Raw genomic sequence first — 19,257 nt, 5'->3', positions numbered from 1 at the left:
TTAGTCCAAGATGAACACACAACATTATTATTACTCTTTCCATCCAGCTATGGCATATTTCTTTGTTTTCTCTAGTTGTCCTTTGTATCGCTCAATAAAATTTGTGGCTCTGGTATATTTCATAATAATCATACATTATATTTCATTATTTCTAATTATTATAATGGATTGCATATACATTTACTATGTACCACATATTATGCAATATATTCATTATCTCAATTCATAAAACAATCATGTGATTTAGTTGGTGTTATTACTAGATTACCATTGTACAAGTAAAGAAAATAAAGACAAAAGAAAAAAGAAAAGAGACTCAGCAAATCCAAACCAATAAAGACTTAATTAGAATTGTTGGGCATATAACAAAAATTTAATACAACTCAATGAAAGCAAAAAACATTTTAAAAAATGACCAGGCAGATTTGAGAAGGAGCCAAATAGAAATTCCAGAAATAAAAACATAATTGTTGAAATTGAAGACAGATTCGACAGCAGATTACATATAATTGAAAAGGAAAATGTAAACTGGAAGACAGGCTGAAGAAATTGCTCAGAATGAAGCCCAAAGAAGTAAAAAAATAAGAAAAAAACAAGAGACATGGAAGACAAGAGTGACAAGATATTACAACTAACAGGATTTCATAAGTAAAATAATAAACTGTTAGAAAGGTTTTGTAAAAAAGATAATGGCTTGGAATTTTCTCAAAATGATGAAAAACTCCACCCTTCATATTCATGAAGCTCAAGTTGGACAGATTTAAAAGGAAAAAAAAAACACCTAAATATATCATCATAAAAATAACAGAACCCTGAAGAAAAGAATATATTGAAAACAACCGAGAGAAAATTCACATTATCCATGAAAGAATATGGATTTAGACCAAGAGCTAATGTCTTAAAAATGGAAGCAGGAAGACAATGTACTAAGAAAAAATAATCACATACGAAATTAGTATATCTTTTAATAAACAGGCCAAATATAAGACAATATTTAAGTCATAAAAACCAAACAAATACTGAATTTGCTAACTAAGAGACCTTCACTAAAGGAAATTCTAAGAGACGTTCTTCAGTAGAAGGGTGTTCCCCTAGATGGAAGACTTGAGTTGCGAGAATAGATAGTGAGTACGTAAGAAGACAAATATGTGAGTAAATATAAATGAACACTGACTATACAACATGTAGTTTCCAGTGGATTAGCAATAAGATGAAAAGGAAAATCATAAAACTTCTAAAGATAATATAGTAAAACTACCTTAATAGCCCCAGTGGGTTTTCATGTAAAACCTAAACAAATTCTGTTCACCAAAAAAACACTATCAGGATCAAAGACCCAACTATAAGGGGTAAAACTATAAAATTTGTAGAAGAAAACATAGGTATAAATCTGTGACCGTGAATTAGGCAATGGGTCTTAGATACAACACCAAATGCAAGAGTGACAAAAGGAAAAACAAACTGGACTTTAACAAAATTCAAAACTTTTGTACATCAAAGGATACCATCAGGAAAGTGAAAAGAACTCACAGAATGAGAGAAAATATCTATTAAGTCATACATCTGATGAGGAACTAATGTCCAGAATATATAAAGAATTCTTAGAATAACAAAAAGACAACACAATTAAATGAGCAAACAATCTAAATGAACATTTCTCTAAAAAGATATACAAATCACCAATCAGCACATGAAAAGATGCTCAACATCATTAGTCATTAAGGATATGCAAATGAAAACTACAACTAGATACCACTTCACATCTACAAGTATGGCTATATTTTTTTAAAAAAGGAAAATAACAGATGTTGGCAAGGAGGTAGGAAATAATGGAACCTCCGTACGCTGCTGGTAATAATATAAAATGGTACAGAGACTTTGGAACACAGTTTTGAAGTTTTTCAAAAATTTAAACATAGATTTACCATACGCCCACTCCTAGATACATAAAGAAAATTGTAAAAATACGTCCACACAAAAACGAGTACATGAATCTCATCACAGTACATTATTAATGATAGTCAAAAAATGAACACAACTCAAATATCCATCAACTAATAAATGGATAAACAAAACAGTATACTCATGCAATGGGATTCAGGCATATAAAGCAATGAAGTGCTGAGACAAGATACAACATGGATGAATCAGGACAACATGGTAAATAAATGAAGCCAAACACAAAAGGTCACATATGATTCTGTTTTTTCTGGTATTTGGCATATGCTAGTCCATAGAGACAGAGAATAGACTAGTGGTTGCCAGGGGCTGGGAAAAGGGGGAAATGGGGAGTAACTGCTAGTAGGTATGGAGTTTCTTTTTGAAATGATAAACATGTTCTAGAATTAGAGAGTTGTGATAGCTGTACAACTTTATGAATACATTAAAAGCACTTAAAGCGCCTACAGTCCCAGCTGCTCGGGAAGCTGTTGCAGGAGAATCGCTTGAACCTGGGAGGCAGAGGTTGCAGTGAGCCAACATCACACCACTGCACTCCAGCCTGGGTGACAGAGTGAGACTCCAAATCTGGAAAAAAAAAGGCACTTAGTGTACACTTAGAGTGGATACTGGGCTAAAAGTGAAGTGACAGGCCTCAAACTAGGCAAATCTTCTATACACATATCTGACAAGGGACTTCAGGAAATCCTAAAAGTTTCAATGATGAAATAGGAGACTATAGACAAAAGACTTGAACAATGCACATAAGGAACCCAAATAACTCATAAACAAATGAAAATAAGCTCAGCCTCCTTCCAAACCACACAAGACTATTTCATATCCAACTGAAAAAATGATATCAAGTAAAGGCAAGAATGTGCACAAATAAGTACCCACATAAGCTGCCAGTGGGAATATAAAATGGTGTTACTTCTTAGCAAATTTGGTATCATCTATTAAATAGTTCACTGTGCATAATCTTGGGCCAAGCACTGCCAATCCTGGGCACATGCCCTGGAAAATCTCTACATGTGAACCAAAAACCAGCACCATTGTATGGATTATCAAAAAAAAATCAAAAATAGAATGGAAAAACAAATTTCACTCTCTGCAATCATATAATCAGACAGTGCAGCAAGGAAAATGAATGAATGTAAGAAAACCACAATAGTAGCAAAAAACAGCAAGTCAGAATACGTAAGGCATGATTCCTTTTATGTAAAGTTTCAAAATATGGAAAACTCAAAATTATCTTCTGTAGGGAGAAAAACATACATTCTTAGAATATATTAGGCAAAGACTTTTACTTGTTTCTTTTTCAGTTTAAGGATCTGCTGTTCTACTTTTGCAATTTTTCAATCTACACGATCCATACTTTGTATTAACTCTTCGTTTGAAAGTTTTGAAGGTAAAGCATTTTGATCATCTCCACATGGTTGCCCCGAAATTGGAGAGGATGGAGCTTCATGTTTGCCTCCGAATGCTGGATCCTTTAGAGAATAAAACCAAGAAAAACAATTCATTTCTCACTAATAGAGTCCAGATTGCCTTAAATGAAACAGTCAGTTTTAAACCACAGCAGAGCCATGTGTAATATGTGTCTAATGAAACCTTTAGCAGTAACTTTCATATTTACATATATGCAAATTCTCACCTCACTTTTATAGTTTAGATATACCATGTACTATTTTGAAGAGCCTAAAAGCTATACAAAGTCAGGTGAGTTAGTGCTGATCAGCCTCTAGTGTAACAATACTGAAATTATAGAGAATTTATAGGTAAATAATGCAATCATGACGAAGATACCAACTTCTCAGCCATTTCCTTGCAATGGCTCTTCAAATGGTCTGAACCACTGGCTGGGAAATAGTATTATTCCAGGTAAAACCTGTGTGTCCACCCAACTTAACAACTATAACATGGCCAAGTGTTCCTATCAGAAGTTTTCAGGCTTTCCAAACCAAAACTGAGGTACACGAGTCAGAGAAGTGACCTAGGAACTTCAGCTGCTACTATCTCTGGGCCTACTTCCATAAAGCCCACACTACAGCATACGTAACATTTCCTTAGCCAAAAACATCCCACTGCACCTCCAAATCAGCAGAGCTGTAGCAGAATGAAAGCCCCTTCACCCAAAATCCACTCCAACACACATCCACACACACCCTATTAATTTCCAGTCTGCTGTAAAGATATAAGCAATATTATAAAACATAAAGTTTAGAGCACTAATTTTACTTAGACTATCAGAAACCTACAATGAGGGTAGTTCACAGGATTACAGAACCCTAAAATGTATTAAATAATGATTAAGGAACTGTGAAAAGTCAATAGTTCTGAGCCAAGAATGCCTACAGGAGATAACTGGACAGTTGCTTCAAAACACCGTAGTACAGATATTTCAGCTAATATACACTGATGAAAAGCCTCATATTCTGTAATAGTATGCACTGAATCTGAGAGGCCTTCTGGGAAAATAAGATTATGGCTATACCCTAAAACCTGTACAGTTCTGTAAGGAAAGCACCAATAAAAGCAATAACAATTCTAATAGACTTAATAGAGTTAAAGCTCCAGTATCCTTTGCATCTGGCATACAATCAATCTTTGGCAGCTTTAAGCCCTAGAGTTTATGATTCCTCTCTTAAGATGTAAATCCGTGAGGTCATTGGCTTCCAAAATAAACCAGTATGTTTCATCTAAATAAAATATCAGTGGCCGGGCATGGTGGCTCATGCTTGTAATCCCAGCACTTTGGGATGCCAAGGCAGGTAGATCACAAGGTCAGGAGTTCGAGACCAGCCTCACCAACATGGTTAAACCCCGTCTCTACTAAAAAATACAAAAATTAGCTGGGTGTGGTAGCGGGCACTTGTAGTCCCAGCTACTCGGGAGGCTGAGGCAGGAGAATGGCTTGAACCCAGGAGGGAAACGTTGCAGTGAGCTGAGATTGCACTACTGCACTCCAGCATGGGTGACAGAGGGAGACTCCATCTCAAAAAAAAGAAAAAAAATCAGATTTGGCATATAACCATGTTTATCAACCTCTTTTTCTCCCCCTCCCTCCTTTATCAACGCTAAAAAAAATACAAGAAAATTTGTCTTCACATTGTCTTTTCAATGCTTGAATCTTCACTAACACTGTGAAAAGCACGACAGTTCTTAAATTCACTAAACCAGCTACTATTTGCACTAAATGAAAACTAAATGCAGAATGTTCAAATATTCTTAAGTCTTCATGTGTTGTGAAGCCTTTTTCTTTCATTATGAGACAGCATACTCCTGAGAACTTAGAAATGTTAATGCATAAAGAAAGATCTTTGGTGAACTACCAGGACTTTCATGATACATTAATGTCATTCTCCCACTATATGCATATGAGCAAATTTGTGTTACAGAAACATATATAACAGAAAAAGAGATTACATTTTGAATCAGCAGACTTCAAAAGTGCTCCTCAGGTGATTCTGATGCATCTGATGCATCAGATGCAAAGATTAATATTCTGATGCAAAGAATTAATATTACAAATGAATATTTTCCACTGACTTCCTTTCTAAATATTAAATATTTAATAAGAAACCAAATCCTCAAGTGCCTACTTATATAACAGGAATAGGGTGGTGGATCAAAACAGACAAGATATCTCCCTTCATGAAGTTTACAATCTTGGGTTGAAACAGCAAGATACCAATCCTGAAGAAAAAAGAGTTAGATTCTTACCTCATATCTTACATTAAAAAAGCCAAGTAATAGCAAACATTTATAAGAGGCTTATTAGCAAATCACAAAAAGCCTCAAATTAAAAAAAAAAAAGATTCACATTATCGTGGGTTCAGGAAAGCCAAAAGCAAAAGATAAAAAATACATTAGTTTTTAAAAAAGAAAAATTGATGGATAAAATAAAAAACAGTCTTCTGCTGGGCATGATGGCTCACACCTGTAATCCCAGCAGTTTGGGAGGCCGAGGCAGGCAGATCACTTGAGGTGAGGAGTTCGAGACCAGCCTGGGCAATATGGTAAAACCCCATCTCTACTAAAAGTACAAAAATCAGCCAGGTGTGCTGGTGCAAGCCTGTAATCCCAGCTACTTGGGAGGCTGAGGCAGGAGAATGGCTTGAACCCGGGAAGCGGAGGTTGTGGTGAGCAGAGATGGCACCACTGCACTCCAACCTGGGTGACAGAGGAAGACTCCATCTCAAAAACAACAACAACAACAACAACAACAAAAACCACACATGCAAAAACACAATCTTCTGCTTATCAAAACAGTAACAACAAATTAAAAAGGCAAATGATTAAATAGGAAAACCATTTGCCAAACATGCACTCTAACAACTCAATATAAAATAAACCAACAGAAAAATGGGCAACATATATGAAAAATCAATTTACAAAACAGGAAAAATAACCAATAAACAAATAAAAAAATGTTAAATTTTACTAACAAATAATACGTTTAATTTAAAAACAATCATTCATCAAATTAACAATCTTTTTGTTAAACGATAAACATGTGGTGTCAGCAAGGATACAGAAGAAGTGGGTACCTTTATTTTTTTTTATTTTTATTTTTTTGAGACGACATCTCACTCTTGTCCCCCAGGCTGGAGTGCAGTGGCACAATCTCAGCTCACTGCAACCTCTGCCTCCCAGGTTCAAGCGATTCTCTTGCCTCAGCCTCCTGAGTAGCTGGGATTACAGGCACCGGCCACCACACCTGGCTAATTTTTGTATTTTTAGTAGAGACGGGGTTTCACTATGTTGGCCAGGCTGGTCTCGAACTCCTGACCTCTGGTGATCTGCCTGCCTCAACCTCCCAAAGTGCTGGGATTACAGGCGTGAGCCACCATGCCCGGCCAAGAAGTGGGTACCTTTATACACTGTTGTCAGGAGTTAAGAACTGGCCCTACTCTTTTGCAGGACAATCTGGAAATACCCACTGAACCTTAAAAATCAACCTGGTCTGTAATTAATTATACTAAAAGAAATCTACCTTAAGGAAACAAGTAAGAATGCATACAGAAAAAACAAGCTAAATAATGTACGGGCCAGCTGCAGTGGCTCATGCCTGTAATCCCAGCACTTTGGGAGGCCAAGGTGTGCAGATCACCTGAGGTCAGGAGTTCGAGACCAGCCTGGCTAACATGGTGAAACCTCGTCTCCACTAAAAATACAAAAATTAGCTGAACTTGGTGGCATGCACCTGTAGTCCCAGCTATTTGGGAGCCTGAGGCAGGAGAATCGCTGGGAGGTATAGGTTGCAGTGAGCCAAGATCATGCCACTGCACTCCAGCCTGGGCAACAAAGTGAGACTCCATCTCAAAAAAAAAAAAAAAATGCATGTCACAACACCGTACTTCTGAACAAACAGGCAACCTAAATGTATGAAAATTGATTAAATAAATAACTTTATTTATTCATATGTGGAATACTAAGTAGCCACTAACAATACAGTTGTAAACTTATTGACACAAAAAGAAGTTAAGCACGTATTTAAGCAAAAGTAAAGTTAAACAGAATGTACAAAGTGAGCACATTAAAACATTCATACGGGCCGACTCTGGACACACTGCCTATGGGTTAGCCCTGTTACACAAGGAGCAGCAGCAAAAAAAAACAAAAAACAAAAAAAAAACCCATAAAATTAAATTAAACTAAAATTAAAATAATACACACACAAATAGGGAAGAATCAACATGAAAATGTTAATAACTTTTAACTGGTAAAACTGCAGGTAATTTTTTCTTTCAAGCTTATTTAATTCTTCTATAAATGATATACCTAGGCTTAACATTTAAAAAAAATCTAACAAATGTTAGTTCTTTTTAAATACTTACTTCTGGAGGTGGGCAGTTGGGAGAGAATGGGGAGAGGGAGATGGAAAGAGAAGTATTAGTTAGTAGTAGTAGTCATGGTTTACACTTTAGAGGAAAAAAAGCAGGACTAGAGTCAGGGGTCCTGGGTTAATTCCAGCTCAGGAGGTACTACCTAGGTCACTTAATTTTTCTGAACACCCAGTTTCTCAACTATAACATGGAAATGGGTCACACTACCACACAACACATCTCATTTTAATGAATGAGTTTTTAAGACACTTGTCTGCTAAAAAACGAAATTCTATAAATTACATTTTTGGTAATGTATTCAGCCATGGAAGATGACCTTTATTCACTATATTTTTAAATTTCTTTTTTTTAATGCAGCAGAACACTTCTTATAAACCCCACAGACTACTGTAGGATAAGGATATTTCAAATGATAAGGTGGGTCACAAGACACCTAGAAGCTTAGCTAATTTCTAGCTTATGGCAAAGAATATTTCCCCATCCAACTTACTATTTTGAAAAATTTCAAATTCACTTAAAAGTTGAAGGAACAGTATAATGGACACTCATTTATCCTTCATCTAGATTCACCAGTAGTTAACATTTTAACATATTTACTTTCTGTGTGTGTCTGTGTATGTTTATAAAACTTCATTTTGGCTGAACTATTTGAAAATAAATTGTAGATACATTTATTATCTTTTAAATTACTCTTCATTGCATGAAAACTCAAAGAAAATGTGTGGGTACTTATTTATCTGATATCAGGGAAGAAAGGGCAATCAGGCATAAAGGTTAACAAACATAGAAAAAATATTTGATGGCAGTAAAAACATTTTAAATTTCAGTATGCTTAAAAAAAAGAAAAATTGAAACAAAAAGACTCTGGGAAAAGTATTAGAATATGTTAGGCAGGCAGATCACTTGAGGCCAGGAGTTCGAGACCAGCCTGGCCAACATAGTGGAAACTTGTCCCTACTAAAAATACAAAAAATTAGCTGGGGCCGGGCACAGTGGCTCATGCCTGTAATCTCAGCACTTTGGGAAGCTGAGGTGGATGGATCACCTGAGGTCAGGAGTTCGAGACCAGCCTGACCAACATGGTGAAATCCCATCTCTACTAAAAATACAAAATTAGCCGGGCATAGTGGTGCATGCCTGTAATCCCAGCTACTTGGGAGGCTGAGGCAGGAGAATCACTTGAACCCAGGAGGCGGAGGTTGTGGTGAGCCAAGATCGCATCATTGCACTCCAGCCTGGGCAACAAGAGTGAAACTCTGTCTCAAAACAAAAAAACAAAAAAAGTAGCTGGGCATGGTAGTGCATGCCTGCAGCCCCAGCTACTCAGGGGGCTGAGGCATGAGAATTGCTTGAACCTGGGAGGTGGAGGTTGCTGTGGGCTGAGATCGTACCACTGCTCTCCAGCCTGAATGACAGAGCAAGAATGCCTCAAAAAAAAAAAAAAAAAAAAAACAAGTAGCCACAGGGGGGAAAATGTGTTTTATATATTAATGAGCAAAAATTAAGAATGACCTCAGGCTTCTAGTCAGAAACCATACAAACCAGAATACAATGATATGACATCTCTTAAAATACTGAAACTGTCAACTTAGAATTCTCTATCTAGTGAAAATAGTCTTCAGAAATAAAAACATTTTCAGGCAAATAAAAGCTGAGAGAATTAATTGCCAAAAGACCTAAACTGAGAGAAATGAAGTGCTTCAGGCAAAAACACAATAATATCAGAAGAAAACTTGAATACACAAAAAGAATGAAGTGATGATATATACACAGGCAATTAGAGAAGGAAAAAAAAATAAAGAGTAGAAATCAGTGAAATAGAAAAATAGTGAAAATGATTGAAACCAAAGCTAGTTCTTCAAAAATCTTTTAAACTGATAAACCTCTAGGCAGACTGATTAAAAAATAATAAAAACAAACATTATCAACATGATTAACAACATAGCAACATATCTCAAAGGCACTGAAATGATGAGGAAATATTGAGACAAATTATGTCAATAAATCTGATACCTTAAACAACAAAATATACCCAAACTGACTCAAGAAAAAATTATCTGAATTATAACTATTAAAGAAATTTAATTCATATTTAAATTCTTCCCAGAAAAAAAAATCTGGGACCAAGTTTCATTGATAAATTCTATCAAATATCTAAGGTTGAAAAAGTATCAATCCCAACCACCACGTGGTGGGCTGACACCTGAAATCCCAGCACTTTGGGAGGCTGAGGCGGGTAGATCACCTAAGGTCAGGAGTTCGAGACCAGCCTGGCCAACATGGCAAAACCGTACTAAAAGTACAAAAAATTTGTCAAGCATGGTGGTGGGCGCTTGTAATCTCAGCTACTTGGGAGGTTGAAGCAGGAGAATTGCTTGAACCACGAAGAAGAGGTTGCAGTGAGCCGAGATCACGCAATTGCCCACTCTAACCTGGGTGACAGAGTGAGACTCAAAGAAAGAAAGAGGAGAAAGAGGAGAGAGAGAGAAAGAAAGGAAGAAAGAAAAAGAAAAAAAAGAAAGAAAGCCAAGAAAGAAAGAGAAAGAAATAAAGAAAGAAAGAAAGAAAGAAAGAAAGAAAGAAAGAAAGAAAGAAAGAGAAAAGGCCAGGCGCAGTGGCTCATGCTTATAATCCCAATATTTTGGGAGGCTGAGTCGGGCAGATCTCTTGAGTTCAGAAGTTCGAGACCAGCCTAGCCAACATGGTGAAACCCCATCTCTACTGAAAATACAAAAATTAGCCAGGTGTGGTGGCACGCACCTGTAATCCCAACTACTCAGGAGGCTGAGGCAGTAGAATCACTTGAACCCGGGAGATGGAGGTTGCAGTGAGCTGAGATTGTACCACTGCACTCCAGCCTGGATGACAGAGCAAGACTCCATTTCAAAGAAAAGTACCAATCCTACACAAACCCCTTAAGAAAAGAAAACACAGGAGTAAAGAGCACTCTCCAAGCTAACATCATTCTTAATGCAGAAAGACTGAAACTCAACGCTTACCACACCACATATAAAATTTTAATTCAAAATAGGTAATTTACCTAAATGAAACACCTATAATTATAAAACTTAGAGAAGAAAACATAAGTGAAAATTGGTCGGGCGCGATGGCTCACACCTGTAATCCCAGCACTTTGGGAGGCCGAGGCAGGTGGATCACAAGGTCAGGAGATTGAGACCATCCTGGCTAACACAGTGAAAGCTCATCTCTACTAAAGATACAAAAAAAATTAGCTGGGCGTGGTGGTGGGCGCCTGTAGTCCCAGCTACTCGGGAGGCTGAGGCAGGAGAATGGTGTGAACCCAGGAGGCAGAGCTTGCAGTGAGCCGAGATTGCCCCACTACACTCCAGCCTGGGCAACAGAGTAAGATTTTGTCTCAAAAAAACAAAAACAAAAACAAAAACAAAACAAAACAAAAATAGAAAAAAAGAAAACGTAAGTGAAAATCTTAGTGACCTTGAATTTGGCAAAAACGTCTTAGGTTTGACACAAAAAGCACAAAAAATGAACAATAAAAATAGTACATCGGGGCTGGGTGTAGTGGCTCACACCTGTAATCCCAGCACTTTGGAAGGCTGAGGAGAGCGGATCACCTGAGGTCAGGAGTTCGAGACCAGCCTGGCCAACATGGTGAAACTCCATCTCTACTAAAAATACAAAAATTACCTGGGTGTGGTGGCACATGCCTGTAATTCCAGCTACTCAGGAGGCTGAGGTAGGAGAATTGCTTGAACCTGGGATGCAGAGGTTGCAGTGAGCTGAGATGGCACCATAGCACTCCAGACTAGGCGACAGAGCAAGACTCTGTCTCAAAAAATAAACTACATCGGACTTGATAAAAATAAAAAATGTATGCTCTCCAAAGGATACTGTTAAGAAAATGAGGCAAAACTTCTTTTAATAATCTAGATACAATATATAGATATATGTTTTCTAAGTAATTTTATCTATAATAATCAAAAACTGGAATAGGTGACTGGATAAACAAATTGTGGTATACCCATACTCAACAATAAAAAGGAATGAACTGAGACATGCCAGACATGGATAGATCACAGAAGTATTATGGGAAGCAAAAGAGGTCATAGACAAAAGAGTTCCCATGAAGCTCAGAATGTATACAATGTTTTATGATAGAAAGCAGATCAGTGGTTTCCTAGGAGCTGAGGTTAGTAGGAATTGGGGGAGGAGGACTGACACGGGTGGGTGCCAAGGAGGATGGGGTGCCAAGGAACGTGCTGGAGTGTTAGAAATGTTGTTCATCTTCATTTTGGTGATGGTTCTATGAGTTTATGAATTTGTCAAAATTTGTTACAATGTACACATATAATGAGTGCATTCTAATATAGATATATGTGTATATATATATATAAACTAAACTGCAAAGTTAATTTTGTTTCTTTTAAGATGGGGTTTCACTCTTGTTGCCCAGGCTGGAGTGCACCGGCACGATTTTGGCTCACTGCAACCTCTGCCTCCCGGGTTCAAGCGATTCTCCAGCCTCAGCATCCCAAGTAGCTGGGATTACAGGTGCCTGCCACGATGCCTGGCTAATTTTTTCGTATTTTTAGTAGAGACGGGGTTTCACAATGTTGGCCAGGCTGGTCTCAAACTCCTGACCTCAAGTGATCCACCTGCCTCAGCCTCCCAAAGTGCTGGGATTACAGGCGTGAACCACTGCGCCCGGCCTGATTTTATGAAAAAACCAGCAGCAACAATAATCCGGAAAATTGGTAATCAGATGAATAACACTGGGGTAGGGGGACAACACAAGCAAAATTCAACACCAATCATGACAGAAATTCTCAAACTAGGAACAGAAAGCAACCTCTTCAACCAAAAAAGGCATCAACAAAAATGTGCAACTAACGTTACACGTAATGGTAAAAGACTAAATGCCTCCCTACACAGGAACATCGTAGGAATGTCCATTCTAACTCTGTAATCATGACTACACTTCAAAGGAGTCCTCAGTAGGACCCCGTAGTACATTTTGATGACAAATCTGCTTTCTTAGTCTCTGAGATGACCGTTTTATCCCATCCTTTCCTATTTTTCTTTAAACCTCTTACATCCATATCTTTGGTCTACTCTGAGATGATTATTTCACCTCATACTTTATTTTTCACAAGGTAAATCAATCTCTTACAAACTCTTCCTATAATAAAGTCTTCCTTCCTATCTACCATCCCTTCCTTCCTTCCTACCTACTATGCAAATCTTCCTACCATCAATCTCTCAAGAAGACAGAGGTCTTTATCCTGGCCATCACTCAAGACATGCCAAGTTATCTAGCCAGCTTAAAACTCAACCACAACTTGGGAGTATAAATATAGGTCTTACCCTAGAAATTCTAGAGAATTGATAAGTTTTCTATTTATCATCAACTCCTGTCATCAAAACAAAGACAAGTTCAACTCCTGAAATCGGCATAAAGCCACAGTAAGAAGACAGAAATAATTAATTCCCAACCTTTGGTTCCTTGTCTTTGTAAATAGCTCTTGCCACTTAAAAAAAAAGGCAAATTTGGTGGTTTCTACCAACATGTGTATTAAATAGGAAAAGTAAAGAAAAACAAAAAAACGTGCAATTTGCATAGTATTTGTTCCTTACCTGCTGGTGGTGGGTGCTGGGAAACGTATACTTTACAGAGTGAGGAGGAGAACGACTTTGTTCTGTGCTGAATGCTCCTTGGTTGGGAGGATAAACTGAACTTGACATTATCAGTAAAGAAGTTCTCACCAGACTGTGAGATCAACGCCAATAAACAATCATGTTTCTAGGAAACCATCTAAACAGGATGGGAAAAAAATAGAATTAATAAGAACTAAAACACCAAGTGTACTTCTAATAAATTATAACTATAGATACATAAATAAAACCACAATTACCAGGAAAAGCTTCCTCTCAGGTATTTACTTAATAAAAGTTACCAAGGTTTGAAAACATTAATGCATCATTTCTTTTTATATTTAAAATAGGTTAATATGTGACAAATAATATAATTAGCTATATAAAGTAAAAACAGTATATAAAAACAGCATAATATCTGGCACATAGTAACTGCTCAGTAAATACCTTTCTATAAATGTCTAAGGCATATAAAGACAAAAATACATGGTTTTAAATTTGGGAGTTGATAAGTCAATTGTGAAAAGAATTCAAGAGTAGTTTTAAGGTAAGCATTTGTGCAGAGGAAGTATTGTCTTTATTAAATAATTGTGAAGCAAGGATGATAAAATACTAAGTTTTGTAATCACAGATGGTAGGTAGATGGATATTTGTTATCTTACTCTTTGCTTGCTTCTATGGAACTGAAATAGCAAATAAAGAAAAAAAAGGCCAGGAGCGGTGGCTCCTCCTGTAATCCCAGCACTCTGGGATGCTGAGGCGGGAAGATCACTTGAGGTCGGGAGTTCGAGGCCAGCCTGGCCAACATGGTGAAACTTCTTTTCTACTAAAAATACAAAAATTAACGGGGCATGGTGACATGCGCCAGTAATCCCAGCTACTTGGGAGGCTGAGGCAGGAGAATTGCTTGAGCCTGGGAGGCGGAGGTTGCAGTGAGCCGAGATCACACCATTGCACACCAGCTGGGGAAACAGAGTGAGACTTCATCTCAAAAAAAAAAAAAAAAGAAAGAAAGAAAAAGAAAGCCATCCTCATTATAAACTCTATTCCTACTTGTCCACAATTCTAGACTAATTTGATTTGTCTGTCTTTTCCTGTGCCAATGCCACACTTTTCAAATTACTCTAGTATTACGAGGTTTCATATCCAGCAGGGCAAGTTTCACCTCACTGTGCTTCGTTGTTGCTGCTACTTTCACCACCTTCCCAGCTATTCTAGAACATTTCCTCTTACACACAAGCATGAGAGTCAGCTTGTCAGGTCCCAGAGAAATTCTGGATGAGAAAACATAAATATTGAATTCACAGACTGACTAATGGGAGAACAGGTACCCCTATACTCCTGAGTATTCCCATTCTAAAACATGATTATCTACGTTTATGTTTCAGGATAACACAAATATTTATGTTATACATAATTCATATGGGTGTATTTTACATACATATGGTAGAGAATATTACATATGTGTAAAAATGTGTGCAATAATATATAATTTCTATCTTAATTATATATAAAACTCCCAAGACAAAAATTTTATATACACATATACACATGTGCATGTGTGTACATACACTCTTACTTTAAGACCGGAGTTCTATTATTACCTAATTGGGTGGTTTTAAAAAAATAGAATTTAAATATAAGATGAAAACTATATAATTGCATACATAAAAATATAACAGATATAATTTTATATATATAAAATCTTCACCCATTTAATACTTTATTAGTAAAGTTTTAATTTTGTTTCCATCATTTCAAGGTATTTGGGAAGAGGGCAAATTCAAAAAATAATTCAGTATGACAAATTGATCAATTTCCCAGTTTTTATCAATATATTCTTTATCCAGTTAGGTTTAGAAAATAAAATTTTCTAGGGAATTGTCATTCAATCTAACTTTAAAACAAAACTTATAGGCTGGCCACAGTGGCTCACACCTGTAATCCCAGCATTTTGGGAAGTCAAGATAGGAGGATCTCCTAAGGCCAGGTATTCAGGACCAGAATGGGCAATGAAGCCAGAACTATCTCTACAAGAAAATTAAAATAATAATAATAATTAGTTAGGCGGCCAGGTGCGGTGGCTCACACCTGTAATCCCAGCACTTTTGGAGGCCGAGGCGGGCGGATCGTGAGGTCACGAGATCGAGACCATCCTGGCTAACACGGTGAAACCCTGTCTCTATTAAAAATACGAAAAAGTAGCCGGGCGTGGTGGTGGGCACCTGTAGTCCCAGCTACTCGGGAGACTGAGGCAGGAGAATGGCATGAACCCAGGAGGTGGAGCTTGCAGTGAGCCGAGATCGGACCACTGCACTCCAGCCTGGGTGACAGAGCGAGACTCTGTCTCAAAAAAAAAAAAAAAGAAAAAGAAAAAATAATTAGTCAGGCATACAGTACACACCCATGGTCCCAGCTACCTGGGAGGCTGAGGCAGGAGGATCACTTGAGCCCAGGAGGTCAAGACTGCAGTGAGCCATGATTGTGCCACTGCACTCCAGCCTGAGTGATACAATGAAACTCTGACCCAAAAAATAAAAGAAAAAATGTATAGAAAGAACTTTAAGGCCAGGCGTGGTGGCTCACGCACTTTAGGAGGCCAACGTGGGCAGATCACGAGGTCAGAGTTCAAGGCCAGCCTGGTCAACATGGTGAAACCCAGTCTCTACTAAAGATACAAAAAATTAGCCGGGCATGGTGGCACACACCTGTAAACCCAGCTACTTGGGAGGCTGAGGCAGGAGAATCACTTGAAGCTGGGAGGCGGAGGTTGCAGTGAGGTGAGATGGCATCACTGCACTCCAGCCTGGGTGAGGGGCCCAGACTCCATCTCAAAAAAAAAAAAAAAAAAAAAGAACTTTAAAAACTGCATGTGGTACCATGTAATATATAAATATTTTAAATAAATATATCATCCTTTCTCCTGATGTCACATTTCCTGCTGTTGTGAAAGTTGACCAGGAGAAGAGTCAGAAGACTGACCAGCTGTCCCTCAGTCTGTTTTCTCCCTGTTCCCTTCCAAGGCCCGAGGCATGGAGGTCAGCAAATCTTAAGGATTGGAAGGTTGAGATTACCCAACTAACACTGATTTGACAGGTGAGAAATGTGAAGATCAGAGAAAGTCAATAATTCCTCCAATATCACAAAATTGTCTGTGGCAAAATGGGAAAAACTAATGTTTTCTGCAATGCTTTGCGGCTTTCTCAGCAGGTAGTGAACTAGGAGAAGGTGAGATGTTCCGTGAGACCACACATTAAAACCACCTGAGGAGCTTTCTCCTCATCTATACATCTGCAACTGCTCCAGGTGGAAGGGGAAAAGCCAACATGTGGCACTGTGGGGAGGGTTGATCTTTTTAGAAATAAACATTATATGCAGGACTTAAGAGTTTTTAAAAGTACCACAGAATACAAAGTGAAAAATCTCCTTGCCCTTCTCCTCCAGCTGCTACCCAGTTACCCTCCCAGAAGGCAACCAAAGTTACTAGTTTCTAGAGTGTCCTTTAGAAATATCCCACACATACATACAATCACACTTTTTCCCCTATGTAAATGGTGGCATACTAGAAACACACTGTTCTGTATCTTGCTTTTATTACTTAATACATCTCGGTTGGCCTGGTGCAGTGGCTCATGCCTGTAATCCCAGCACTTTGGGAGGCTGAGGAGGGTGGATCATGAGGTCAGGAGATCAAGATCATCCTGGCTAACACAGTGAAACACCGTCTCTATTAAAAATACAAAAAAGTTAGCCAGGCATGGTGGTGGGCGCCTGTAGTCCCAGCTACTCAAGACGCTGAGGTGGGGAGAAAGGCATGAACCCAGCTGGCAGAGCTTTCAGTGAGCCAAGATCACATCACCAACCTCCAGCCTGGGTGACAGAGCGAGACTCCGCCCCCCCCCAAAAAAAAATACATCTTGGCAATTATTCTCATGCATCTATGGTTCTTTCTATTGCTAAAGAGAATTTCACTACATGGGCCAGATGTGGTGGCTCACGCCTGTAATCCCAGCATTTTGGGAGGCTGAGGCGGGTGGATCATCTGAGGTCAAGAGTTCGAGACCAGCCTCACCAACATGCTGAAACCCCGTCTCTACTGAAAATACAAAAATTAGCCAGGCATGGTGGCACATGCCTGTAATCCCAGCTACTCGAGAGGCTGAGGAAGGAGAATCGCTTGAAACCAGGGGCAGAGGTTGCGGTGAGCTGAGGTCGTGCCATTGCACTCCAGCCTGGGCAACAAGAATGAAACTCTGTCCAAAAACAGAGTATTTCACTATATGAACGTTCATGCATTTTGTAAAAGTTTTCCAACTAATTCTGATCTGCTGCCCTAAAACATGCTTTAAGTGATCTATCTCTGTGCTCTCCTCCCAACTCAGACATCCCAAATAAATAAAGCTATAAGTGGAATGCAGAGGCAAAAAAAAAAAAGATTTTAACCCAGGGTCATCCCATTTTTTTCTAACAGTGGCCTAAATGATTAGAAACCCATGAGGTACAATTTTTTAATGCACATTTTTTAACTTTCAGCTATGGTGAGTCCTGAGTTCAACAATTACAAACAATGTCACTCAAAGTCACAAGTTAAGTGACTTCTCCATTTTTTCCCTCATTTCAGTAATCCTTCCTGTTGTCCTAGTTTTGTGGTATGACTTTAATGAAGTTCAACTTTATTATCTCAAAAAAAACAAAAAAAATTAGTTTTATTTAAAAGTACTATTCGCCCAATACAGAAGGAAAAAAAAAAAAAAACTAGCAAAGTCAGGAAATTAGCCCCTATCGGCATACAAATTTACAGGTCAAAGCAAGCCCTTCCTGTCCTCACATGAACTGCAGCCTGGAGACCACCACAACCTCCTTCCTCAAAACTTATCCACGAGATACACAGCAACAGTGCTCAGATCTTGTTTTTTAACCAGAATGTTTTCCTCAGAAGTCTTAAATGAAAGCTAAATGTACAAAAGGTACAATGGAGAAACATTCTGATCTAGTGAGAATGGGAGACCTAGGATTCATTTTTTCAGGCTCCCCCTGCCTTTCCCCATCCCTCCCTCCACCTTTCACTCCAGTCCTGGTTCACTAAGATACCTCGGCAGAATACTTTACATTTGAAACCCACTGAAATGAAAGAATCTAAAGTTCAGACTGAAGGGGAAGGGAGCACCTTAAGTGGCAGTATCAAATTATAATTTCAGTTCTTAGCACCAAAACTCATTAACTCAGGGTAGTTACATGGTTGACTCATGAACTAAAACAATTCTATGAATAGTTTAAGAAATCCGATCAAGATTTTATGAGCAACTTCCTCATCTCTTACATATCAACATATAATGTTTTAGGATGAGAATAATATAGTAATAATTATACATCACTGTCATAAAAGACAATAGCACTTCTAACTGAATTATACAGATAAACCCAGAACTAGCCTCTTACATATTGCAAACAGGTAATAAAATATTGCAAAATGAAATTGATCTATTTAAGTTCCTTTTTAAATCTTCTCATATTAAATAAACACACACATATTTACTCAACAGGAAAATCTTGCAACAAAATTTCAAATACTAACCTGCCAAAAAACAAGTAATTTTTCCTCTCAGCAGGAACTTCTGGCTTTTGGCCCACAACCTTTGCATAACCAAAATGTGTTATGCAAAGGTGTTCAAGGTGGCCTAAGCTACATTGGAAAAAAAGCTAAAAATGGCCGGGCACAGTGGCTCATGCCTGTTATCCCAGCACTTTGGGAGGCCAAGGCTGATGGATCACAAGGTCAGGAAATCAAGACCATCCTGGCCAACATGGTGAAACTCCATCTCTACTAAAATACAAAAAA

At 38.1% G+C, this 19,257-nt stretch overlaps 1 long non-coding RNA gene across 1 annotated transcript in view; it reads right to left on the bottom strand.

The window, feature by feature from the left end:
* Positions 1-3,136: 3,136 nt before the first annotated feature.
* The window catches only part of LOC105379562 (uncharacterized), a 29,333-nt gene continuing 13,212 nt past the window's right edge, over positions 3,137-19,257 (bottom strand). The window contains exons 2-3 of the long non-coding RNA XR_951439.3: positions 13,401-13,578; positions 3,137-3,428 (exon numbers count right to left, since the gene is read on the bottom strand). This is a non-coding gene — a long non-coding RNA (uncharacterized LOC105379562). The remainder of the gene's footprint in view (positions 3,429-13,400; positions 13,579-19,257) is intronic.

This window comes from Homo sapiens, unplaced genomic scaffold, assembly GCF_000001405.40.
Source record: "Homo sapiens unplaced genomic scaffold, GRCh38.p14 Primary Assembly HSCHRUN_RANDOM_CTG27".
NCBI lineage: Eukaryota > Metazoa > Chordata > Mammalia > Primates > Hominidae > Homo > Homo sapiens.
This window is presented reverse-complemented; position numbering and strand designations above follow the sequence as displayed.